Source organism: Homo sapiens, chromosome 2 (genome assembly GCF_000001405.40).
Source record: "Homo sapiens chromosome 2, GRCh38.p14 Primary Assembly".
NCBI lineage: Eukaryota > Metazoa > Chordata > Mammalia > Primates > Hominidae > Homo > Homo sapiens.
In genome coordinates this window covers 201,213,111-201,239,846 of record NC_000002.12, presented here as the reverse complement: position 1 = coordinate 201,239,846, position 26,736 = coordinate 201,213,111, and the positions used below count along the sequence as shown (strand labels likewise).

At 42.1% G+C, this 26,736-nt stretch overlaps 2 protein-coding genes and 2 pseudogenes across 29 annotated transcripts in view, besides 4 other annotated features; 2 read left to right on the top strand and 2 right to left on the bottom strand.

The window, feature by feature from the left end:
• Nucleotides 1-6,384, bottom strand: part of CASP8 (caspase 8) — a 54,249-nt gene extending 47,865 nt beyond the window's left edge. For 11 of the 21 annotated variants that reach the window (NR_174598.1, NR_174588.1, NR_174582.1 and 8 more), the window contains exons 1-2: nucleotides 6,225-6,384; nucleotides 5,735-5,831 (exon numbers count right to left, since the gene is read on the bottom strand). The gene's annotated coding sequence lies outside the window, so the exon portion shown is untranslated. The remainder of the gene's footprint in view (nucleotides 1-5,734; nucleotides 5,832-6,224) is intronic. The other 10 variants (NR_174583.1, NR_174590.1, NR_174581.1 and 7 more) reach the window with 1 other exon arrangement.
• Nucleotides 5,196-5,315: an enhancer, noted in NCBI's record as "active region_16984". NCBI's record gives its function as "activates an Ori minimal core promoter by ATAC-STARR-seq in GM12878 lymphoblastoid cells {active_cell/tissue: GM12878}" and the evidence as "EXISTENCE:reporter gene assay evidence [ECO:0000049][PMID:35858748]".
• Nucleotides 7,413-7,662: an enhancer, noted in NCBI's record as "active region_16983". NCBI's record gives its function as "activates an Ori minimal core promoter by ATAC-STARR-seq in GM12878 lymphoblastoid cells {active_cell/tissue: GM12878}" and the evidence as "EXISTENCE:reporter gene assay evidence [ECO:0000049][PMID:35858748]".
• The window catches only part of CASP10 (caspase 10), a 46,266-nt gene continuing 29,970 nt past the window's right edge, over nucleotides 10,441-26,736 (bottom strand). For 6 of the 8 annotated variants that reach the window (NM_032977.4, NM_032976.4, NM_001206524.2 and 3 more), the window contains one exon: nucleotides 18,182-22,259. In NM_032977.4, coding sequence (NP_116759.2) covers nucleotides 22,106-22,259 — 154 coding nt within the window. In that variant the 3' untranslated portion in view covers nucleotides 18,182-22,105. Of the gene's footprint in view, nucleotides 10,915-18,181; nucleotides 22,260-26,736 lie in introns of those variants that run through there. The other 2 variants (NM_032974.5, NM_001206542.2) reach the window with 1 other exon arrangement.
• Nucleotides 16,326-16,595: an enhancer, noted in NCBI's record as "active region_16982". NCBI's record gives its function as "activates an Ori minimal core promoter by ATAC-STARR-seq in GM12878 lymphoblastoid cells {active_cell/tissue: GM12878}" and the evidence as "EXISTENCE:reporter gene assay evidence [ECO:0000049][PMID:35858748]".
• Nucleotides 19,867-20,411: an enhancer, noted in NCBI's record as "NANOG-H3K27ac-H3K4me1 hESC enhancer chr2:202084159-202084703 (GRCh37/hg19 assembly coordinates)". NCBI's record gives its function as "activates a minimal SCP1, AML or CMV promoter by ChIP-STARR-seq in primed H9 embryonic stem cells {active_cell/tissue: H9 hESC(primed)}" and the evidence as "EXISTENCE:reporter gene assay evidence [ECO:0000049][PMID:30033119]".
• Nucleotides 24,897-25,194, top strand: MTND4LP13 (MT-ND4L pseudogene 13; annotated as a pseudogene).
• On the top strand, nucleotides 25,187-26,554 carry MTND4P23 (MT-ND4 pseudogene 23; annotated as a pseudogene).

Sequence of the window (26,736 nt, the reverse complement as noted above, 5' to 3'; positions counted from 1 at the left end):
CAGAAGCCATCAGGGACAATATCAAAAGTTTCATAATTACGGTGCAGTGTGAGCTTCCAGAGAGCAAGCTGTGGGAGGATCCGGGTAAGGATTGCCCGCCACCCGTGACGCCTCAACAGGGAGGAGCTCCTTGCTTGAAAAGGGAAAAAATTGCCAAACTGAAGAGGAAGGAAACTGAAAGTAGCCACTAAGAAAAAGCAAGATGAACCCAAAGCACAATCAATCCAAGGTAACTGAGAATTCAGGAGAAAACAAATTAGAAAAGTAAACTGATAAGAGTCTATGTAACTCCTTAAAAGGTTTGTTATTAACCAAAAAGTAAAAATCAAATAAGCCAACAACAACCAAAAAAAACACTAGAAATTAGATGAAGATATCCAATAGTTGAAGACAAACGTATTTTTAAAAAGTAAGGAAGCCGCCCCGTCCGGGAGGGAGGTGGGGGGTCAGCCCCCCGCCCGGCCAGCCGCCCCGTCTGGGAGATGAGGGGCGCCTCTGCCCGGCCGCCCCTACTGGGAGGTGAGGAGCCCCTCTGCCCGGCCACCACCCCGTCTGGGAGGTGTACCCAGCAGCTCATTGAGAACGGGCCATGATGACAATGGCGGTTTTGTGGAACAGAAAGGGGGGAAAGGTGGGGAAAAGATTGAGAAATTGGATGGTTGCCGTGTCTGTGTAGAGAGAGGTAGACATGGGAGACTTTTCATTTTGTTCTATACTAAGAAAAATTCTTCTGCCTTGGGATCCTGTAGATCTGTGACCTTACCCCCAACCCTGTGCTCTCTGAAACATGTGCTGTATCCACTCAGGGTTGAATGGATTAAGGGCGGTGCAAGATGTGCTTTGTTAAACAGATGCTTGAAGGCAGCATGCTCCTTAAGAGTCATCACCACTCCCTAATCTCAAGTACCCAGGGACACAAACACTGCGGAAGGCCGCAGGGTCCTCTGCCTAGGAAAACCAGAGACCTTTGTTCACTTGTTTATCTGCTGACCTTCCCTCCACTATTGTCCTGTGACCCTGCCAAATCCTCCTCTGTGAGAAACACCCAAGAATGATCAATTAAAAAATAAATAAATAAATAAATAAAATAAAAAGTAAGGAAAAGACTGGGTGCAGTGGCTCACACCTGTAATCCTAGCACTTTTGAAGCCCAAAGCGGGCAGATTACTTGAGGCCAGGAGTTCAAGACCAGTCTGGCCAACATGATGAAACCCCGTCTCTACTAAAAATACAAAAAATTAGCCAGGCATAGCGGCACATGCCTATTGTCCCAGCTACTCGGGAGGCTGAGGCAGGAGAATTGCTTGAACCCAGGAGGCGGAGGTTGCAGTGAGCCAAGATTACGCCACTGCACTCCAGCCTGAGTGACAGAGTAAGACTCCATCTCAAGAAAAAAAAAAGAAAGAAAAAAGAAAAGCAAGGAAAATAAATAAATAAATGTTTCAGGGTTTCATTGTTTCCTACGCTGAGGTGGGAGCGAATATTCTCTGAAATTATCTTGTAGATAACCTTTAGAAAATTTAAATGATATCCCATATATTCCAGGCATATTCTCTCAAACAGAGCAAGTTCCCCACTTGCTCCACAAGATGCCACAAGCCTTCTCAAGGCTTCTCTGGGTCACCTGGATTTCAGCTCAGCCTTAGTTTCCTGACAACATCCTGTTGTTCCCTCATACTTTTCTTTTTTGCCTCCCTTGTTATTTGTTACCCCCACTTGGAATACTCTTCCTCTTTGATATCTCCAAAGTGTGAATCCACACAACACTGTCCACTTCCTCCAGGAAGTCTACCCTGACTGCTCCCACCTAGTATATCTCTTTCATTCACGTTCTTCTTGCACATTCAGTCAGAAACCTACAGCTGCTCTCCATTTGCCAAGAGGTTGTTCTCTAAGTTTATATCAAGATTGTTTGATGAGATCGCAAAATGCCACTTCCCATTTTTCCCCTAGCTGGCTTTTTAACCCGTGTCATGCCTGACATCTAAACATACTGCTTGATCACTACACAAGGCTGGCCCACAGACTGCTTTGGCACAAAGGCCAAAGACTACTAGGCTCAACGTTAATTCCTGTCTTTCTGGGCCAAGATAAAGCCAGAAGACACAGAGCCATCCACTGATGCACCAGTAAATTAATGACTTTACAAACCAGCATGCATTCTTGCGGGGAGTGTGTGCAAGTGGGAAAAAAACTGTCTGGATATCAAAATCAGTCACCAAGCTGTATATTTACAACTTGTGAATTCTTCAGTATTTATGTAAGGTTTCGATACAAATTTTACACCAGAAAATCAACATGACTCACTCCAGTCTTCTAATTTTCTATTTTTCCTCCGAGACCTTGCTGGATGTTTTCTTTTCTTTTTCTTTTTTCTTTTCTTTTTTCCTTTTTTTTTTTTTTTTTTTACTCTGAAGATCTACTGGAGAGATGTTTTCATAAAGATAGAGAAAAGGGTCTGGACAAGGTGGCTCACGCCTGTAATCCCAGCACTTTGGGAAGCCGAGGCGGGCAGATCACTTGAGGTCAAAAGTTTGAGACCAGCCTGGCTAACATGTTGAAACCCCATCTCTACTAAAAATACAAAAATTATCTGGGCAAGGTGGCAGGCATCTGTAATCCCAGCTACTCAGGAGGCTGAGGTGGGAGAATCTTTTGAACCTGGGAGGCGGAGGTTGCAGTGAGCCAAGAACGTGCCACTGCACTCCAGCCTGGGCGACACAGCAAGACTCTGTCTCAAAAAAAAAAAAAAAAAAAAAAATAGAAAGGGGTCATACTGGGGAAAAGGAACAAACACAGACGCACTGAAAAGAATCCAAATGGTTAAGAATATGACAAAGAGAATCAGAGACTACGAAGATTTAATTCAGGAGGGTGGGGATAGAAATAATTTGACACTGCTCTTCAGCTAAATTTATTCTTTACTTGAAAACTTCTGTCTGGCCAGGCACAGTGGCCCACGCCTGTCATCTCGGCACTTTGGGCAGCCGAGGCAGATGGATAGCTTGAGCCCAGGAGTTCAAGACAAGCCTGGGAAACATGATGAAACTCCATCTCTACAAAAAATGCAAAAATTAACTAGGTGCGGTGGTGCGCACCTATATTCCAGCTACTCGCAGATGGGGAGCTGAAGTGGGAGAATCACTTGAGCCTGGGAGGTTGAGTCTGCGGTGGGGCCAGGGTTCGGTAAGCCGAGGTCACACCACTGCACTCCAGCCTGGGCGGCAGAGCCAAACTCTTGTCTCTAAAAAAAGACTTTTTAATAGAATTTTCATGTTGGCTTGCTGCCCTCTGGTGGAATTATTAGGGTTTATCACAAACACTGTGGAATTCACTCTGGCAATGACCACTAACACAAAATACCGATGGTTCTTGGGCATAACTCTCCCCCTGGGGAGTTAGATCTTTGACTTCATGGCGTCAGGAATTTGTTATTGGCCTGGACAACAGAAACATGTCTGGAAAATCCCCAAATATTTGGAAATGAAATAACACAACTCTAAATAATCCATGGGTCAAAAAAGAAATCAAAAGGAAATTATGTAGTATTGAATTAAATTAAAATCAAAACAAAATATCAAAATGCATGGGATGCCGCTAAAGCAAGGCTAGGAGAAAATTTACAGAACTAAATGCCTAAAAGGAGCAGGGGTGGGGAGGGGCAGGAGGACAGGATTCAAGAGGGCATACGAAATATTTTGGAGGTAATATATATGTTCACTATCCTGACTGCAGTGATAGTTCCACTCAAATATATACAGTCATACGTCACTTAATGACAGGCATAAGTTCCAAGAAAAGCATCGTCAGTGATTTCGTCATTATGCCAACATCATAGAATGTACTTATGCAAAACCTAGATGGTATAGCCTACTACACACCTAGGCTATATGGTCTAGACTATTACTCCTAAGATGCAGACCTACAAAGCATGTTACTGTATTGAATATTGTAGGCAATTGTAACACAATGGTAAGTATTTGCATATCTAAATATATCTAAACATAGAAATGGTACAGTAAAAATACCGTATTATAATCTTATGAGACCACCATCATATATGTGGTCGGTCATTGACTGAAATGGCACATGAATATATATATGAGTGTGTCTATATGACTGTCATATATGTCATACATATGTCAAAACTTATCAAATTATATACTTTATATGCCATTTGTTGTATATCAATCATATCTCAGTAAAGCTGTTTTAAACAACATGTGGCTGTACTATTAGGTAGTACAACTCAAGTGCAATTACTAAGAGAATACTAAAAGCATGCATAATTAACAAGCTAATAAAGGAGTAAGGTGAACTTTCTAAAATTACTTAATTCGTCTAAAAGAAATCAAGAAAGTAGAGAAAAGTGAATTGATGCCACGAATAAAAAACAACTGGAAATATAGTAGATTTTAGCCCAATTATATTGACAATTACATTAAATGAAAATGGACTAAATACTGTAATTTTAAGAAAAGTACCTTCCAGAATACATTTTTCTATAATAAAAGAAAAACTTGAACAATACACCACTTACGGCAGACACATTTCAAGTATAAGAACACCGAAACACTGAAAGTATAAGGATGGAAAAAGATGTACCAACTGATATCATTATACTAATATCACATAAGGCAGACATAAAGGAAAAATGATCCTAATTTAAAATGAGAAATTGACAATCTACAGTCATAGTGTAAGATTTTTATGTTCCCTTCTCGATAATGGGTAAGAAAGACAGACAAGCAGTAGAGTTATACAAGATTTGAACAACACAATTAACCTTGACCTAAATAACATAAAATCTTGACCTAAGTAACATAAAATCAATTCTGTTAGTGCCTTTCTTTCCTCATTCATACAGTCACTGTAATAGTGACTCCTGCATGTGAAGGTTATTACGAGAATCAAATGAGTTAATACATGCAAATTCTTAGAATTCCTGGCATGCAGAGTAAATTCATAATAAGTAGGAACTTAACCAAGAAATAAAAGCCTAAGTATATTGCTTTCATCTAGTGGTCACATTATATAAAAATACATAAATTTTTATAATGTGGTCATATTATCTAAAAATGTGAAATCAGCCGGGTGCAGTGGCTCAGGCCTGTAATCCCAGCACTTTGGGAGGCCAAGGTGGGTAGATCACTTGGGGCCAGAAGTTTGAGACCAGCCTGGCCAACATGGTGAGACCCCCCCATCTCTACTAAAAATACAAAAAAAAAAATTAGCCAGGCATGGAAGCAGGTGCCTGTAATCCCAGCTACTCAGGAGGCTGAGACACGAGAATCACCTGAACCCGGGAGGCGGAGATATCAGTGAGCTGAGATCGCGCCACTGCACTCCAGGCTAGGCGACAGAGCAAGACTCCCTCTCAAAAAAAAAAATAAAAAAGAATAACTTTTCACTATGTGAGCCATTGTCATTTAGTGCATAATGTCTGCGTACTACCCAGTATCCCCTGCGGCTCCTCCACAGTTGTGGGGTCCCGCACTATAGGAAGACAATGCATTTTAGCTCCGAGTACAGGTCTCAAAAACTTGGCTAAATACTTCCCCCATCCACTCATACCAGTGTACAGGGAACAATAATGGATTAATAACCAAAGAGAGGGCGGGAAGGTCCCAACTGGCATCTGCTCCACTCGGCCCACTGGTGTCTAGATAGGGAACAGTAATAGCGTTCACCACTTCTCTTTCCCCCAAACCTCCTCTGGAAATCCCAGGCTTACCTCAATATTCCCAAGGTTCAAGTGACCAACTCAAGGGCTCAGGCGGCCAAGGCCCAACCTCACGTGCCCAGAAAGTGGACGCACCCAGGGGCTGCTCCTGGAAGGAAGGAGAGATGACGGTGAGTAGAAGCCCATGTCAGCCTCTCTGGCTGGGCCCTCCTTCTACTGATGTCTTGACCCGCAGCCCGCAGCCTCTGGGCAAGGAACTAAAGTCGTTTTGAGCCAGCAGGGTCAGACTTCTAGAAGCAGCCAGCTAAGGTAAAATATCTGTCTTCTACTCCCTGGAAAGCAGTCCGGAGAGGTGGAACCAGCCTAGACTTCAGTATCAGGCAGATCTGGATTCAAATCCCAGCTCTGCCTCTCACTTGCTGAGGACTCTAAATACCTCCTTTTGCTCCACCCAGCCTCCATCTTTTCACGTGGAAAAGAACTGCTTGGTAAGGTTGCTGTGGGGAGTGAATAAAGCAATATACATAGTGCTTAATCTCACAGACAGCAGATGCTCCAGAAATGCTAATTCTCTTGCCCACTGGTATTCCTCAGGCAGCCACCAGTCACCTTCTTCTGAAGCTGTTGGCGGGGTACAGGCAGGCAGGAAGCTCAGTCTGAACAACCAGCCTTCAGACCAGCTCAGACACAAGGTGAAACAGAAACCAAAAACTCAGAGCACATGACTTACCTCCTCCAAACCTTTGCTCCAACCACTGCCACTCCCCAGGGAACGCCCTCCTCGTCTCCTCCCGCCCACTGCGGAGAGTGCTCCCATTCTCCACCGTTTATCACACACTTGTTTCTCACTTCCTGGCACTGTGAGTTGTCGTTTATTAACTGGTTTATTTTCTTCTTGGAAAAATAATTTTTTTAAAAAATATACCTTATCTATGCACACAAAGCAGCCCCCCAATTCATGAATGGATATGCTTGTGGTTTGTATTTGCGTTTTAATTACTAAGCAATCTGGCTCATCCCTTTGTGCAAAGCATTGCCTTAGGTTACAGTGTAGGAAACTGTATCAGCTCATCCTAGCACTGTTATAAAGAAATACCTAAGACTGGATAATTTATAAAGAAAAGAGGTTTAACTGGCTCACAGTTCCACAGGCTGTACAGGAAGCATAGTGACATCTGCTTCTGGGGAAGCCTCACTGTATTTATTTATTTGAAGGACTGATTTTTTAACAAAGTGAAAACTTCTCCCATGGCCTCTTCAATGCTTCCTTGAGGTCCCCGCTGTTAACATTTTGATTCTTTCAGACTTTTTCCTAGGCTTATAAAGCCATAGTAATTCTTGCTCTGCCACTTACTAGCTGCGTGACCTTGGGCAAGTTACTTAACGTCTCAGTGCCTTCCTCGGCTCATTCATAAAGTAGCTATAATGATTCCTGCATGTGAAGGTTATTATGAGAACAAAATGAGTTAATACATGCAAAATACTTAGCTCCTGGCATGCAGAGTAAAGACATAAATACATAATAAGTAGAAACAAATATTGTTTTATATACAGAGAGACAAAGAGAGACATCACATATACCATTTTGTTTACAAAAGCAGGGTAAGTATACTGTGCCAGTATCAATCATTGTGTTGCATCTGAGCTCCAAGTCCACTCTGTTCTCTTTGGTGACACCAAGCTACATCCCATAAAAAGATCTCCTTTGCTAGCGGCACAATTTTACTGGCTTTGTCAGTAGAGGGCGCCAGAGGGACGGTGCAAGGCCTAGCAGAGGACTGGATTTCTCTTCCGGGTTCTGGTGCTTCTCTTCCTGCTCTTAACGCCATGACTGCCAGCAGCTTGTAGAACCAGTGGTGCTCACCTTCAGGGAACTTTGGCAGCCTCCCAGCGGGCAGCTTCCTGCTCACCAGCCGGGGCCTGCTGACTGCAGACAGCTTGAGTGCTCTTGTACCTTTAGCAGTTAGCCTTCTTTTACTAGTTAATAATTCTTCATATTACATTTTCCCTTTCAAATTACTGGTGTGCTTTCCATCTCTAACTGGACCCTAACTTTTAGCTCATGCCTGGTATCTACCAGATGGCTTGTAAAATTTATTTAACCATTCCCCTACTGAAGGGAATGTGAGTATTATCGTTTCCAGTTTTCAGCTGTTATACCCTGTGCAGTAGTGAACATGTGTTTTTCATCCACATCACTGTTTTTGAAGGAAAAAAAATCCTGGAAGAGGAATAAATTTCTCTGCCATAGGGTTGTGCATGTAAGTCTTTGGAAAATGTTGTGAGATTGCTCTCCCTATAAGGTTGCACCAATTTATATTTCCAAACATAGGTGTAAGTGCCCACTTCCCCACACCCTCACCAATTATTATTTTTCTTTAACATTTACTAATCTTAGGGGTAATGTCTCATTGTTTTAGTTTGTTTTGTGCAATTACTAAGGAGACTGAACATTTTTTCATAACTTCATTGTCAATTTTTATTTTTTCTGTGAAACACATTGCTTATATCCCTTATTCATTTTTTAGTTGGATTGTCACTTTTTTCTAATTCATAGAAATTATTTGTTGATTCATTCCTAAAAGTGTGTATAGTTTTACAGATTTTATTAAGGGCCTTCATTCTTAGTTATGTAGCAAATATTTTCCCCGATTCATTTCATGTCTTTTTTTATGTGATGAAATACACATAACATAAAAATTACCATTTTCATCATTTTAAGTGTACAGTTCAGTAACATTAAGTACATTAATACTGATGTGTAACCACCACTCATCGCCAAAACATCTTCATCTTCCTAACCTTCATTGTATGTCTTTAAATTCATTCTTTGTGTCTTATATTATACAAAAGTTTTACATTTTTATCTATTCTAATTTATCAACCTTTTCCTTTATGACTTCTGGCTTTTACATCTTGTGTAGGGAAATTTTTGCTGGTGCTGTATTTTCTATATTTTCTTTTAATACCTTTCTAGACTTGTTTTAACATTTTATCTTTAAGCCATTTGACATTTTTGTGCTGGTATGCATGGTCTGAGGTGGGCTTCTAACTTTACTTTCTTGCAGGTGGGGACCTGATTATCCTAACACCTTTTTTAAAAAATCCATCTTTTCGCCTGGTGCAGTGGCTCATGTTTGTAATCCCAGCACTTTGGGAGGCCGAAGCAGGCGGATCACAAGGTCAGGAGATCGAGACCATCCTGGCTAACACAGTGAAACCCCGTCTCTACTAAAAATACAAAATATTAGCCGGGCGTGGTGGTGGGTGCCTGTAGTCCCAGCTACTCGGGAGCCTGAGACAGGAGAATCGCTTGAACCTGGGAGGCGGATGTTGCAGTGAGCCGAGATCGCGCCACTGCACTCCAGCCTGGGTGACAGAGCGTGACTCCATCTCAAAAAAGAAAAAAAGATCCATCTTTTTTTGATTATTTTATTATGTCACTTTTGCCAAAAAGTACCTGCCTTCTCTCCCAAAGCAGATTATCATTTCCTAGAAGGGAGGGACATTTCTTGTATCCATAAGTTTCCTCCTGACCTGGCAGATTGTACATGTTATACATGTTGGTTGGTGATATGACTGATAGGAAGCTGAATGAGAACTAGCACATTTTTAACAAAGCAAAGCAGCAGGTATCAGAACTCAGAATCAAATAAAAGCTGTCCCCCAATTCATGAATGGATATGCTTGTGGTTTGTATTTGTGTTTTAATTACTAAGCAATCTGGTTCATCCCTTTGTGCAAAGCATTGCCTTAGGTTACAGTGTAGGAAACTGTATTAGCTCATCCTCACACTGTTACAAAGAAATACCTAAGACTGGATAATTCATAAGGAAAAGAGGCTTAATTGGCTCACAGTTCCACAGGCTGTACAGGAAGCATAGTGGCATCTGCTTCTGGGGAAGCCTCAGAGAGCTTTTATTCATGGCAGAAGGCAAAGCAAGGGCAAGCATCTTACATGGCAGGAACTTGACCAAGAGAGTGGGGAGGTGCCACACACATTTAAACAACCAGATCTCATGAGAGCTCTATCACAAGAACAGCACCAAAGGGATGGTGCTAACCCATTCATGAAGGATCCATCCCCATGATCCAATCACCTCCACCAGGCCCCACCTCTGACATGGGGGATTACCTTGACGTGTGATTTGGGCAGGGACACACATCCAAACCATATCAGAAACAGAGGATGGGTAAGATATTGTTTCTGCCCTTATGAAGTTTGTGATCCCTAAATGCCCATCACTAAGGTGCTAGCTGGAGCACTGATGATCCATACATTCAATGGAGCTGTAGCAGTCATGAAAAGGATCAAGCAGATCTATATGTTCTGTTGCCCAGGCTGGAGTGCAATGGCACGATCTCGGCTCACCGCAACCTCCGCCTCCCAGGTTCAAGCGATTCTCCTGCCTCAGCCTCCCTAGTAGCTGAGATTACAGGCATGTGCCACCACGCCTGGCTAATTTTGTATTTTTAGTAGAGACGGGGTTTCTCCACGTTGGTCAGGCTGGTCTCGAACTCCCGACCTCAGGTGATCCGCCCACCTCGGCCTCCCAAAGTGCTGGGATTACAGGCATGAGCCACCGCACCTGGCTCCAAGATATGTTAAATGAGCTAACCAAGGTGCAAAACAGTCTGCTAGTGTTTGTGGGGGGAAAATGAGGGAAGGACACAAATACACATATGCTTATATAAGAATAAAATATCTCTGAAAGAATATTCAAAACATTAGAAACAATAATTATCTCCATAAAAGGCACTGAAAGTTTGGGGGACAGTGTGAAATTCACTTTTCCCCATGGACCATTTGTTTAAATTGTTTAACCATCCGCTTGTAGTTCTATTTCTAAATAAAGAAAATGGGAATTTTAGAAGTATGTTTACGATGAAACAAGAAAGATGACACAGGTACACGTGAAACAGTAAGGGAACAGAAGAGTGCCACGTTCAGAAGTCTCAACTTTGTGGCTGCAGAATCGCAAGGTGGTGCTGTAAAGGGAGGTTTCCGTCTTGCTGTAGGGCGTTGTCAATCTCAGGCGATGTGGCTGGAAGGCAGGCAGAAGGAAGCCTCTGGAAAGAACTAGGAAACGCTGCTCCACCTGCGCATGGGGGGTCGAGGTGTCTGCGCAGAGATGGCCGTGGGCAGGGAGGTTGCTGAGATCTGTTTAGCACCCCACACTGTTCTCTTCCTGCCCCTGATTTCCATTGTCTTTTCCAGAAATTTCAGCATCCTACTGAGCACAAAGAGAAATAAAAGGGGAACTTTGACTGAGTGGTTTTTCACACACAAGGACCTGGAGAGGCTGGACCCCGGCATAGCTTTTTTATGGGCAGCTGTACTTTCAATTCCTGGCAGAATGACTCATATTTCTCATCAGTAATGGAGCAGTCTATTTTTTTATTTGTTTACAATCTTCAAGATAAACCAAGCCCATTTCTCACAGGCCTAAAACTGTTGATAAAGTTGGCTTGTCCTTGATGTTTCAAGATGATAACTCAAGTGGAGAGGCCATGGCTCCTATCTCCAAGACTACTTAGTTTCTCTGGGCCTTGATTTTCTGATCTGTAAAATGGGAACTAAAACACCTCTCCATCACTCTCAGCAACATTTTTAGCAGCAGCAGGTGGCTAAACCCAAGGGCTGGAGTTGTTAATTTGGCAGCAGCAAGAAGCCCCAGGCCAAAACTGGCTCACTGTGCCCTTGCAGTGTGGCCAGACTGAGCCTTCAGAAAGGCATGAGTGGTAGGGGTGAAGATTCTTACTCTCTCATCCCTTCTGCCCTAGTGGAAGGATCCTTCTGAAGTTTCTAAGGAATTTTTTTTTTAGAGGGAGTCTCGCTGTGTCACCTAGGTTGGAATGTAGTGTCACTGGCACGATCTCAGCTTACTGCAACCTCCACCTCTCAGGTTCGAGCAATTCTTGTGCCTCGGCCACTGAGTAGCTGGGACTACAGGTGTACATCACCACACCCGGCTAATTTTTGCATTTTTAGTACAGACAGGGTTTCACCATGTTGGCCAGGCTGGTCTCATACTCCTGGCCTCAAGTGATATGCCTGCCTTGGCCTTCCAAAGTGCTGGGATTACAGGTGTGAGCCACCATGCCCTGTCTCTAAAGACCTTTTTGAAGGTTCTTCAAATGGTGAAATAGCAGCCTTATCCAATAGAGTGCTGAGCTTCTAATTGTGCATTCAGAGTGGAGGAATGCCAGCAGCAATTTGGGCGTTGTGGGTGTCATGGTGAAGATGACTGATTCTGTAGAGGAACCCCTTGACTTAACACTTATTTGTTAGAAACCGGTTTGGGGGCCGGGCGCGGTGGCTCACACCTGTAATCCCAGCACTTTGGGAGACCGAGACGGGCGGATCACAAGGTCAGGAGATCAACACCATCCTGGCTAACACAGTGAAACCCTGTCTCTACTAAAAATACAAAAAAAAAACAGCCGGGCATGGTGGCAGGCACCTGTAGTCCCAGCTACTCGGGAGGCTGAGGCAGGAGAATGGCATGAACCCAGGAGGTGGAGCTTGCAGTGAGCCGAGATCGTGCCACTGCACTCCAGCCTGGGCAACAGAGCGAGACTCCATCTCAAAACTAAATAAATAAAAAATCAAATTACATTAAAAAAAGAAACTGTTTGGGATCTTCAGAAGTGTCATAAGGGAGTTTCCCATCTGCAGCTTGCTTCCTGGTCTGGAGATTATATCCAGATCATTATTTTGCAACAGGGATGGCTCAGGGCAATAAAAAGTGAGTCAATACCCCTTATCCTTGCTTTGGCAACACTGATCATATTAATTACAGCCACAGAAATCACCACCAAAAACAGACAGTTACTAGATTGGAAAAACATACTCTGCCCAAGAGGGCAAAGCTTCCCTGCAAACCTGGCCAACTATTCAACAAGCCAAAAAATCACCCAATCTGGTGGCTAAATTCCATTAATCAGCACTGAGACGCAAAAAGGATTAAAGAGAAAAGAGAATATCCCCACATCTAGCACTCAGTTGAAGATATAAAACATGACTGATGCATTTGAAGCCCCTGTAATTCCTCCCCATTGGCATGTTCCCCCCTGTCCCCCCAAGACCCAATCCCATCCCAGGCAACTACTACTCTAAACTTCTCATCACCCCCATGCATCTGTATATTTGTACAATATACATATTAATTTATAAGCAACATAAAAGACTCTTATGTGTATTTTAACATTATATAAATCATATCATATTATATATATTATTTGCTCAGCATTATGTTACTGATACATATATTTAAACTGTATGAAATTGCCAATATTTGGTTGTTTCTGATCTAGAAGAATGGCAATTTCATATGGTTCAGCCTAATAATTCTAATTGATTTTATTTCACTACTTGATAGTATTCCTTTATATGACTATACCACAATTTATCTATCCTCCTCTTGATGAATATATAGATTGTTTGTGTTGCTTCTTTTCATTTTTTTTTTTGTACTTTTACAAACAATGCTGCTCAGAAAACTAACACTTCCTCCTTATCTCCTGGTACCTGTGCAAGATTTCTTTTGGGGCCAGGCGTGGTGGCTCACGCCTATAATTTCAATACTTTGGGAGGCTGAGGCAGGAAGATTGCTTGAGGCCAGGAGTTCAAGACCTTCCTGCACAACATAACAAGACCCTGTCTCTACAAAACAATGTTTTTAAGTTTATTTTGGGACATAGATCCAAAAATGGAATTGCTAGATTTTACTGTGTGCAAATTTCCAACATTTATAAATATTGCAAATTGCTCTCTAAAATGATTGTGTCAATTTACATTTCCTAGATCGATGTAATAGAGTTCCCTTTGCTCTGTATCTTCACCCACACTTGGTACTGACAGAGTTTTAAATGTTGATAATATGATGGACATAAAATGCTATCTCACTGTGGCTGTATTTTTCAAATTCTCTGATGACCAAAGAGAATGGTTATGTTTTCATATATTTATTGCTCATTGGTATTTCCTTTTAATTACTGGTTCATATTTTTTGCTCATCTTTGAACTAGTTTATATTTTTGCCCATCTAGGTTGGATTGTTTAATATTTTATGGATTTATAGAAGATTATATATATAGTATATGTACATATATCTCCTTTATCAGTTATACAACGTGGCAGATATCATTTCCCAGTTTGTGGCTCATCCCTCAGGTTTTGTTTTTGTTTTTGTTTTGAGACAGAGTCTCACTCTATCACCCAGGCTGGAGTGCAGTGGCATGATCTTGGCTCACTGCAACCTCCACCTGCCAGAGTCAAGCAATTCTCATGCCCCAGCCTCCCATGTAGCTAGGATCACAGGTGTGCGCCACCATGCCCAGCTAATTTTTTTTAGTACAGACAGGTTTCACCAAGTTGGCCAGGCTGGTCTTGAACTCCTGACCTCAGGTGATCCGCCTGCCTCGGCCTCCCAAAGTTCTGGGATTACAGGCGCGAGCCACCACACCCCGGCCTCATCCTTCAATTTTTAAATGTTGTTTTTGATGTTTTAAAATAGTCAAGAGGCAAGTGTTTCTTCTTAAATTCACAAATGACAGCTCCATAGTGGGTTATCAAGAGAAAAGGTGGGGCTTCTCAGGAAATATCTCTAACCTTTTAGGTTGAGATCATAGAGAATTCGATGATTAGTAAAACAGACCGAGAGTGCAAAAGGGTGATATAACCAGGGAAATGTCACAGCATTGCCGAAACCCCTGAAAGCCCATTGGAGGTTTGTGGTCATTGGTTTGAAACGAGACCTGTCTGCAACATGGAAGGTTTTTACCCCAGCCACATCCTGGAATTCCAGTACAAATTTGGAGGACAAGGATTTATAGGATTAACCAGAGTTGGGATTCTACCACCTCAGTGGAACTGACAGAAAGGCAAGGGTGTTGGTGGGTACAGGAGACTTTAACAAAGACACATGGACTCTAAGCTGAATGAAGAGGGAGTGAGGGGCGGTGCTGACATCGGGAAGACAATAGATAGGGTCAGTCAACCTAACTGGAAGCCCTGGTGGCACTGAAGATCCTTGAAGGGAAGGTCCTAGAAGAAGCAAGATGGAATGATGGGAGGTGGTTGTCAGAGAGGGACATGCTTGGAATTGAAACGTGAGTGAAAGTACAGATGGTAGTAATGACAAAGTTTACTGGATGCATGATTGGGGGGACATGGAGGATACACTCATTGAAAAAGGGTGGGGAAAAATCTGTGACAAACACAGAGTGAATAATGGGAAAATACATAGCAAAATAGAATTATAAATAAATATACTTTTTTCTTGGTGTGTTTTTGTATTTCCCAAATATTCCATAATGAACATACATTACTATGTAATCAGAAAAAAGTTATCAAATAAAATTCCCTTATTTATTAGTAAGTCCATTTCTACTATTTACCAGTACTCAGCTCAAAATCTCACAAAGTTATTTCCATTCTAGAATTTCACCAGTATTTCCCAGGCATTTTACAGAATCACTTAAAATGAGACCTACTGAGACATGTAAGTTTCACAGCATATGTTCTTTCTTCCAAGAAATACCTGTCTGAAATATGTATGCAGAAGTGGGGAGGACTGGGTATACAGTGGACAGAACTGGGGGCAAAACTCTTCTTGAACACCTTTAATTTTCTTATCTTCAAACCATACAAATATCTTTATAAAAATATTACCTACTCAAAATTACTTAAAAAGTAAAAATTAGTACAATTTAAAATTTTTAATTTAAAAATCTTTTCATAAAAATTCAGATTTGCAAAAGTTATGTTAGGAAATAAACAGTTGTTTGCATTGCCAAATAAGTAAATCTTTAAACACAGAATTTCCTCTAGTGCTTTTTAAAAGGGATTTCATTTTTTTTCTAATGTATTAAGAGTTCCATTTTTTTTTGGCCAGGCACGGTGGCTCACGCTTGTAATCCCAGCACTTTGGAAGGCCAAGGCGGGCGGATCACGAGGTCAGGAGATTGAGACCATCCTGGCTAACATGGTGAAACCCTGTCTCTACTAAAAATATAAAAAATTAGCTGGGCGTGGTAGCGGGCGCCCATAGTCCCAGCTACTCGGGAGGCTGAGGCAGGAGAATGGCATGAACCTGGGAGGCAGAGCTTGCAGTGAGCCAAGATCGAGCCACTGCACTCCAGCCTGGGCAACATAGCAAGACTCCGTCTCAAAAAAAAAAAAAAAGAAAAGAGTTCCATTTTTAAAAAACACCTGCCTGTAGCCCCAGCTGCCACTCAGGAGGTTCAGGTGGGAGGATCAGTTGAGCACAGGAGGCAGAGGCTGCAGTTAGCCAAGATGATATCACTGTACTCCAGCCTGGGTGACACAGTGAGACTCTGTCTCAAACAAAACAAAACTAAACTAAATTTAAAAATTTGGTTCCTATTCAAAATTCAAAGATACAAATGTGTTGTTACATTCTTATCACATCCTTAAGAGCAAACTGCAGACTTCCAACAAAACTGAAACCCTAACAGAAAAAAGTTAAAAGATTTGTCACATACAACGCAAATCTCACCAGAGGACAGTTACAGTTGTTTGGTATGGCTCCGGAGTTTAGAATGAAAATGAGTGGTTTTAAATAGTTTCTAAGAAGGCAGAAACAGAGAACAGAGAAGAGAACACTTAAAGCTGTCCAAAAGTGAAACCAGGTGGCTTGGAGGGACAGGGCAGCAAATCCAGAGATACAAAGAATTGCAAATCCTCCAGAAATGGCTTCGAGGCTTCAGTAAGTCACTTAGCACTTTGAGGGCTGGACTGCAGGGTCATTGGGGTCCTTTCAAGCTCCCAAATCCATCCCCCACTTGTGGTGAGTTCCCTCTGCTAGAAGGGTTCAGCAGAGGTGAGGGACGGTGGAGGAGGAGTCTGTTACAGAATGAGAGGTTGGAGTGAAGCAAGCTTCAAACAGATTAACCACTGGCACCTGAAGACCTCCAGCTACAGACGCCCATCCACACTACATTAAAAGGTCCAAGATAAAGTTCATCCCTTTCTGTAGGCAGGCCCCAGAACATGAGCTGTCATTGTGTGGCAGTACTCAAATATGAAGCAGTCGCCCCAAAGAGCCAGGACACACCTCTGTGAAGTTTTAAAGATTATCACCAAAAAGAATTAAAGCACTTAAAAATGAAGGTGGAGAGCTCAGAGTCTCTGAGAACAAATTTACAAACACCTAAGGGCCCAAGAATTCCAGGTTGAGAACAAATTGACCAGATCACTCAGAAAGCATCAGATCTGGAAGGTTCTGTGAATCATGTATGGCACAAAAATTACCTGTATGAGGTAAACTTCTAGTTTAGTTTACCTCCGTGGAGATTTGATCATTATTGATTAAGGGTTGCTATTTGGCAACCTTAACCATTGTGTTATACCAGTCACTGGGTCGGTACCACAGCGTACCAGATGCTTATATGTTTTACACCGCCTGGGCATAGGTGGAATAGAATGCCTTGCTAAGGGTAAGCCCCATGATATCCAACCTGCCCAACACCATTGTGAATCCCTGAAGCAGAGGCCAGTAGGTGCTATGACTCTAATAAAAATAAACACCAGTAGTTAAATAACTGTCACATTTGTAATAACAATTTATCAAATGTCTTCATGTCTTTAATTTTGTTTGGCAGTATCCAAACTTTTATGAAAGAAAGAATGAATGAGGCCAGACACAATGGTTCATTCCATTGGGAGGCCAAAGTGGGCAGATCACTTGAGGTCAGGAGTTCGAGACCAGCCTGGCCAAAATGGCAAAACCCTGTTTCTACTAGAAATATGAAAATTAGCCAGGCATGGTGGTGCACACCTGTAATCCCAGCTACTCAGGAGGCGGAGGCAGGAGAATCGCTTGAACCCAGGAGACGAAGGTTGCAGTAAGCCAAGATCACACCACTACACTCTAGCCTGGGTGAGAGAGCGAGACTTTGTCAAAAAAAAAAAAAAAAGAATGAATAAAAGAGAGGAAGGGGAAAGAGAGAAACATTTAATTACAGCTCTTGTAGGTGAGTACAACTAGGCAAAATATACATGAACCTCACTCAATCTACCTATTCCCCTCATAAACATCTTGGCATACAATGACTATCACCACTGTCAAATAGCTGTGATCAAATCACCTGTTATTCCTGAACTCAAAATTCACGCAGACATGCACACACAAATACAGACAAGCATAATGTTTCACGAAATCTTGGAGGGCACACTCTACCAACTGTGTACCCCTCCTACGGAGGAGGAATGAGCCAAGGATGACTATGTTCTGATGTCTGGGTAGATCCACGACTCACAGCTGTAAACGTCCAGGGACCTCCGAAGTGCTTGCTGAAGGCCCCTAAAAACAACGTTTCCTGATTCTAGAATTTAACCTTGCACAAGCACTAAGTTCTAGCAAAACAGAAATATGAAATACACCAGAGGCCCAAAACTTAAACATCAAACCCCAAATGCTCCTGATGAAGGAGGTTTCACTCGCGTCCTTGTGAAGAGACAACCAAACAGGCTTTGTGTGAGCAATAAAGCTTTTTAATCACCTGGGTGCAGGTGGGCTGAGTCCGAAAAGAAAGTCAGTGAAGGGAGATAGGGGTGGGGCCGTTTTATAGGATTTGGGTAAGTAGTGGAAAATTACAGTCAAAGGGGGTTGTTCTCTGGCTGGCAGGGATGGGGGTCACAAGGTGCTCACTGGGGGAGCTTTTGAGCCAGGATGAGCCAGGAGAAGGAATTTCACAAGGTAATGTCATCAGTTAAGGCAGGAACAGGCCATTTTCACTTCTTTTGTGATTCTTCAGTTACTTCAGGCCATCTGGATATATATGTGCAGGTCACAAGGGATATGATGGCTTAGCTTGGGCTCAGAGGCCTGACAGGAGGTTTTATCAACAGCATTTTGTCCAACTGAACTCAGAGTCAAGAGCTGGCCTTCTGCTGCGGTAGACATCACGAACCAGTGAGGGAAGAATTAGATCTTACTCAGAGTATGTCAGGGGTAATGCTAGTGCTGAGTTGCCGCTAATAAAGTCAGCTGGAATTACGCACAAAGGAACTTAAGTCCTGCTATTTCTGTTGCAGTTACAACCGGAAGACCCTACCACCTAAAGGCATTTATATGCACCTCAGCACAGTTAGATTTAAATAGATGCACACATAGGACACATTCTTTTTCGTCTTCCCAACAGCTAATGTTTTCTCTACTTTACAGACAAGGCTGAAAAAAGCTAGCTTGATTTAGTTAGTGTCTCTGAGCAAAGGAATCAGGACAAAATGGAAATGCAGGGCTTTGATCTCCAGATCCTTTGCTCTTTCCTCAGTATCTCACCATCCTTCACTTGCCTTCACATGTCAGTTCTGCCAACTGGACAAGGACTGTGACCACTAGCTTTTGGCCCTGACTGTTATGAACACGGTTTTGGGAGATCATCCTGACACATGTGTAAGAATTAAAGAAAGAGGAAAGAAACATGAAAGGTGGCTTGACAGCCAAGGACAGGTTTATTTTAGAGAAAACAAATTTGAAAGGGGCTTCTGGCCGAGTTAGGTCAGAGCCCACTCACTTACAGACTAAGAGTTTTTAAGGATTTAGGGTGGGAGAGTTTATCAGAGGCTTGGATTGCTTCTATGTCTCTTTGCTGTGCTTATCTGGGAGGGAGAGTTGTGTGTCCGTTCCCATACAATATTTCTGCAGCTGTAGGTACACCCCACCCCCCTCCAGTCTGCTTTTAGCTTCCCCACTTAGTGCACCTGAAGGGAAAGGAATGTGCTTATTAAGGCTCATTGTTTTCCTGGAACCCATTGTATGAAGGCAAAGTTTGGCAGTTACCCAAGAGACTTCCCCCACCCCCCCACCTCCCTCTATGCCAGAGCTGTCTTATCTGTATTTTACTCTCTTCTCTTTCTGGCTGCTCGCTGTTAGAAAAGAAGTGATTTCCTTGAAATGCATGAGGCTAGAAAGGGAACTGGAACTTAAAGTGGCGGTGTTTGTCTAAGATGACGGTGTTCCTGCCCTGTCAATATAGATTAGACATTCCCTCTGTCAAGCTACATTCAAATCCACATGACAATCAGAGATATCAGAACAGTGTTCTTGTGAATATTCTTATAACAAATTTACTGTACATGAATTTGACTTTCACATAAATAATTATAAATGCAGGCACCACTGAGAGTTGTTGTTCTTCATTCCTTGACATTTTTTTATGAGCATTCACATATCAAATGAAACACTCCTAATGCCCTTCCACGCCCCAAGGCATTCCAGTTCACCTGGCTGAAGTCAAATCCAGTAAATGAGGACTGTGAGCAGGTTGTTCACATCCCCAGGCCTCAGCTGCCTCATCTATAAATGAAGGCGTTAACCACAGGACTTTGGATCTCCCTATGAGGGCTCACCTTTAAGGATTCAAAATACAGTTCCAGGAATTAACAGAGAAAAAGTTCCTCTAGAAATTGAAAAAAAAAAAAAAAAAAGCTCAAGTACGTAAAAATGCTCAAAATCTTAATGAAGAAAGCATCAAGGCGTCCTTACAGAGCCACTCCCTTCAGGCAAGCCAGACATCCCCTCTGCCAAGAAGAGCCCAGTGATCCTGAGAACAGCTTCAGTTTCTGACACAGCCTCTCTCCTCATGCCTTGGGCCAGAGGAGCAAAGTGTAGTAGCAGTAACAAGGTGGGGACTGTCCACTGCAGTCTACTGCATCTGCCAGCCCTGAGGACATCCGGCCAAGAGAAAGGTGCTGGCCTGTAGATTGAGTCCTGATTCAAGCTTTGCCTGAAGCCAGTGTTATCCACTCCTGGGTTTCAATGTGAAAGAGGCAATAAATTCCCTTCTTTGCTTCAGTCAATTTGAATTGGGTGTTCTGTCAATGGCAACTGAAATGTTCCAACCCCAATATTGAATTTTTTTTTTAAACAAGGTCTCGCCCTGTTGCCCAAGCTGGAGTGCAGTTGTGTCATCTTGGCTCACCACAGCCTCTGCCTCCTGGATTCAAGAGATTCTCCTGTCTCAGCCTCCCGAGTAGCTGGGATTACAGGTGCTCGCCGCCACACCTGGCTAATTTTTGTGTTTTTAGTAATGATGAGGTTTTGCCGTATTGGCCAGGCTGGTCTCGAACTCCTGACCTCAAGTGATCTGCCTGCCTTGGCTTCCCAGAGTACTGGGATTACAGGCATGAGTCACCGCACCCAGTCCAAAATGGAATATGACATCAGGTTGTAAAGTTTCTGCTTGCAGAGCAGCTGAGTGTAAATGAGCCATCATCTTCCTACAGGGAAACCTGTCTCTAACCAAATAAAAACTTCCTATGTGAGCACCTTCCTTACACAAAAGCAGGAAATGGGCCTGGCATAGACCAAATTTTCACCTCACTAGATGTGCAAAAGAGAAGTCTTAGGAAGGGGGAGATCAGAGAGAGGGTGGGTGGACTGTGACCTCACTGTCCAATGTTTAAGGGCATGCAGAGGGGACACAGAATTATAACTAAGGGGTAGTTGTCTAGAGAGGCAATCTAAGCTCAATCTAGGCTAAGAACGTGGTTTTTGAACACCAAGGAACCTTAAAATGCACCTGGTCCCCAGGCCAGGCACAGTATTTCATGCCTGTAGTCCCAGAACTTTGAGAAGCTGAGGTGGGAGGATCGCTTGAGCCCAGGAGTTTGAGACCAGCTTAGGCAACATAGTGAAACCCCATCTCCACAAAAAAAATAAAAAGTTAGCTGTGCATGGACACACACCTGTAGTCTCAGCTACTTGGGAGGCTGAGGTGGGAGGATCGCTTGAACCTGGGAGGTCAAGGCTGCAGTGAACAGTGATCCCACCACTGCACTCCAGCCCAGGTGACGGAGTGACTCTGTCTCAAAGAAAAAGTACCTGCACAAACCAAAGCCAATTACTCTGTCTTCAGAATAGACATCCAAAACCAAGGCTACAATCCAAGTCTTCAATAATGAAAGTTTTCTGGCCAGGTGTGGTGGCTCGTGCCTATAATCCCAGTATTTTGGGGACAGAGGTGGGAGGATCACTTGGGCCTAGGAGTTTGAAACCAGCCTGTGCAACAAAGTGAGATCCCTCCATCTCTACAAAAAATAAAGAATAAAAAAAATCCGGGCACGGTGGTACACACCTGTGGTCCCAGCTACTTGGGAAGCTGAGGCGGGAGGACAGCTTGAGCCTGGGAGGTCGAGACTACAGTGAGCCGTGATTGCCCCCCTGCACTCCAGTCTGGGTGACAGAATGAGACTATCTCCAAAAAAAAGAAAGTTTTCTAACATTTAGACTTGCAAAAGAAAAAGAAAATCAGAATTGACTGTGTCAGAAAACACGGTGTTTCCTGTTTCTAGAATGACAGGTGGAGACCACCGATTCCTGTGCTGGGCAGGAGGCTGGAGGTTATAGCCAATGATTCGTTTGAGGTCTAAGAACCAACAAAAACTCTCTGCTATAATGAAAGTGCATCCAGGGGCACAGGGAATACTAGTTTTTTCCTTAGTGTGAAAGCAGGCTGGGGCATCTGTTTCTTTGTTCCCTGTTTGTCCACTCTTCGACTCACATCATCGTTGACAGCAGTGAGGATGGATAAGATGTCTTCATGTCTGCAACAAAGAAGAAAACAAAATTTTTTTTTACGGAGTCTCACTCTGTCGCCCAGGCTGGAGTGCAGTGGTGTGATCTCAGCTCACTGCAGCCTCCACCTCCTGGATTCAAGTGATTCTCATGCCTCAGCCTCCCGAGTAGCTGGGATTACAGGTGCCTGCCACCACAATTGGCTAATTAGTAAAGATGGGGTTTCACCATATTGCTTGCCCAGGCTGGTCTCGAACCCCTGACCTCAGGTGATCCACCCACCTCGGCCTCCCAAAGTGCTGGGATTACAGGCATGAGCCACTGTGCCTGGCCCAGAGAAGAAACTTTTTTCAGTCAGGAGGTAGAAACCACACACCAGGTCTTAGAAAAGACACCAGGTACCATGTACCAGGTCTTAGATCAACAAATATGCAGCAGATGCCACAGATACCAACAATGCCCTCTCTATCTGTAGTCTTGGGAGAGATACAAAGATAGACATGACACAATTCCTGAAGTTAACCACTTAGAATGCAGATATGAAACATTTACCGAGGATGGCATATACACAATATTCATAACACAAGGCAGAATGTGGTCAACACCAAATGAAAGGTCAAGGTTCCACTGCAAGTTCAGAGGAGAATGCATTTCTGGTTGGGAGGGAGAGAGAAGGCTTCATGCAGATGGTAGCATTTGAGCCTGGGCTTGCAGGACATATAGCATTTAGCAGAACGTTCTCAGGGTAGGCAATACATATCACTGGAAGCAAGCACAGGTTCTGAAAACACATTCAATTTTAAATTGTGGCTCCATCATTCATTCATTGTGTGCTCTTAGGCTGGTTACTCACTGCTCCATGCCTCGGTTTTCCCAGCTCTAAAATAGGAACCATAACAGTCCCCATCTTAGGGGTTGCCGAGAGCATTAAAGGATGTATATTGGGTCAAGCACTTAGAACACTGGCTACACTGTTCTGCTGACCATCATTTTTAGTATTAGTATGACTACTCTCATCCCCTCATCCTTAACTATCACTATTTTTCAGGGAAGGGATGCAGGCCCTTACCTGCTCTCAATCCCTGCATCTTGCTTTGCACCTGCTCTCTATTCCCAAATCTTCCTGTGTCTGTTTCCTTCTTATCATTTAGTCTCACCTGAAATATTACCTCCACCAAGAAACTACCATTATCCTGTTTTGATTTGTTCATGGCAGGGATCACTTCCTGAAATTGCCTCTTTTTGTTAGAGACAGGATCTCGCTCTGTTGCCCAGGCTAGAATGCGGTAATGCGATTGTAGTTCACTACAGCCTCAAACTTCTGGGCTTAAGCAATCCTCCCACTTCAGACTCCCTAATAGCTAGGACTACAGGTGCATGCCACCACACCTGGCTAATTTTTTCTTATTAATTTAAATATTATTTAAATTAATATTAAATAATAATTGAATAATAAAATTATTAAATAAATATTAAACAATTAAAATATCATTAACTTAAATATTAAACACTGAAAACTATAAAACATTGATGAAAGAAAGTGAAGAGGACACAAATAAATGGAAAGATATCTCGTGTTCATGGGTTAGAAGAATAATCTTGTTAAAATGACCATACTACCCAAGGTGACCTACAGATTTAATGCAGTCCCTATCAAAATACCAGTGACAAGCCAAGTGCAGTGGCAAATGCCTGTAGTCCTAGCTACTCAGGAGTCTGAGGTGGGAGGATTGCTTGAGCCCAGGAGTTCAAGTCTAGCCTGGACAACATAACAAGACCCCATCTCTAAAACAAAACAAAACAAAAACAAACAAAAAAATTACATTCTTCACATAAATAGGGAAAAAAACCCTAAAATGTATATGGAACCACAAAAGACCCCAAATAGTGAAAGCAATGCTGAGCAAAAAGAACAAAACTGGAGGCATCCCACCACCTGACTTCAAAATATACTACAAATCTAGAGTTACCAAAACAGCATGGTAGTGGTATAAAAACAGACACATAGATCAATAGAACAGAATATAGATCCCAGAAATAAATTCACACACCTACAGCCAACTGATTTTTGACAAAGGTGCCCAGAACACACAATAGGTAAAAGAGAATCTCTTCAAAAAACGGTGCTGGGAAAATTGAATATCCATACACAGAAAAATGAGACTAACCACTTACCTCTCACCATAAACAAAAACCAACTCAAAATGTGTAAGACTTAAATGTAAAACCTGAAACTATGAAGCTGCTGCAAGAAAACAGGGCAAACATATCATGACATTGGGTTGGGCAAGGATTTTTAAAACAAGACTTCAAAAGCACAGACAACAAAAGCAAAAATAGACAAATGAGTTTACATCAAATTAAAACCCTTTTGCACGGCAAAAAAAAAAAAAAAAAAAAAAAAACCGAGGGAAGAGACAACCTACAAAATAGGAAAAAAATTTGCAAATTATACATCTCACAAGGAGTTAATATTTAGAATACATAAGGAACTTAAATAACTCAACAGCAAAAAAACAAATAACCCCATTTAAAAATGGGCAAAAGACTTTAACAGACATTTCTCAAAAGAAGACATACAAATGGTCCACAGGTATAAGAAAAAAATAAGTAGTTTAAGGCAAAATAAATGATTTCATTAGATTATGATAGAACATACTTACCAAATGCCCTCTATTTACATAAGTATCATATTAGCATTTATCATATCACTTCTGGGGGTATTAGTCTATCAGTCCCACCTAATATCATCCCTCCTATGCCTAGAAGGAATAATATTATCATTATTCATAGTAAATACCCTTATAGCTTTAAATATACACTTCACCCTAGCAAATGTAATACCCATTACTCTACCAGTATTTGCTGCCTGCAAAGCCAGGGTAGGCCTTGCTTTGCTACTTTCAATTTCCAACATATATGGCTTAGACTACATACATAACCTAAATTTACTTCAATGCTAAAAATAACTATTCCTACAATTATACTACTACCAATAACATGACTCTCTAAAAATTATACAATTTGAATCAATATGGCTACCCACAGCCTAATCACCAGCTTCATTGCCCTATTATTCTTTAACTAATTCAACGACAATCTATTCAACTTCTCATTAACTTTCTCCTCTGATCCGCTAACATCACCCCTTCTAATCTTAACAGCCTGACTACTACCTCTTATAACTATAGCAAGCCAGTACCACCTCTCCAGTGAATCACCCCTATGGAAAAAACCCTGTATTTCCATATTAATTTCCCTACAAATTTTTCTAATCATAGCATTTACAGCCACAGAACTAATTATATTTTATATTCTCTTTGAAGCTACACTTATCCCTATCTTAATTATTATCACCCGATGGGGTAACCAACCAGAACGCCTCAATGCAGGTACATATCTCTTATTTTACACACTAGTGGGATCCCTCCCCCTACTTATTACACTTATTTATGCCCAAAATATCCTAGGCTCACTGAGCATGATAATAATAACATTTAATATCAAGAACTACCAATCTCCTGATCCAACAATCTCATGTGATTGGCATGTATAATGGCCTTCATAGTAAAAATACCCCTATACTGACTTCACCTATGACTTCCCAAAGCCCATGTATAAGCACCTAAGGCTGGCTCAATAGTACTTGCAGCAGTGCTCCTAAAATTGGGCGGCTACACAAAATGCGACTTACCCTCATCCTCAGCCCTCTGACAGAACATATAGCCTATCCTTTCCTGATATTATCCTTATGAGGCATATTATGACAAGCTCCATCTGTCTACGACAAACTGATCTAAAGTCACTTATTGCACATTCCTCCGTAAGCCACATGGTACTTGTTACTGTGGCTATCCTCATTCAAACCCCCTGAAGTTTTACCAGTGCAATTATCCTCATAATTCCCCATGGACTTACTTCGTCCCTACTATTCTGCCTAGCAAATTCAAACTACAAGTGAATCCACAGCTGAATCATATTACTCTCTCGAGGACGTCAAACATTACTTCCACTAGTAACCTTTTGATGACTTACAGCAAATCTCACCAACCTTGCCCTACCCCCCACTATTAATCTAGTAGGAGAACTCCTTGTAACAACGGCTTCATTCTCCTGATCAAACACTACCATCATGCTTATAGGACTTAATATATTAATCACAGCCCTTTATTCCCTCTATATACTTGTCACAACACAACAAGGAACACTAACATACTATATTAACAGCATTAAACCTTCCTTTACACGAGAAAACATACTAATACTCATACACCTTTCACCAATTCTCTTACTATCTCTAAATCCTAAAATTATTATAGGACTTATACCTTGTAAATATAGTTTAATCAAAATGTTAGATTGTGGTCTAATAATAGAAGTCCGCAACTTCTTATTTACCGATAAAGTTTGCAAGAACTGCTAACTCATGCCTCCATGCCTAACAACATAGTTTTCTCAACTTTTAGAGGATGAGAGTTATCCATTGGTCTTAGGAACCAAAAATAT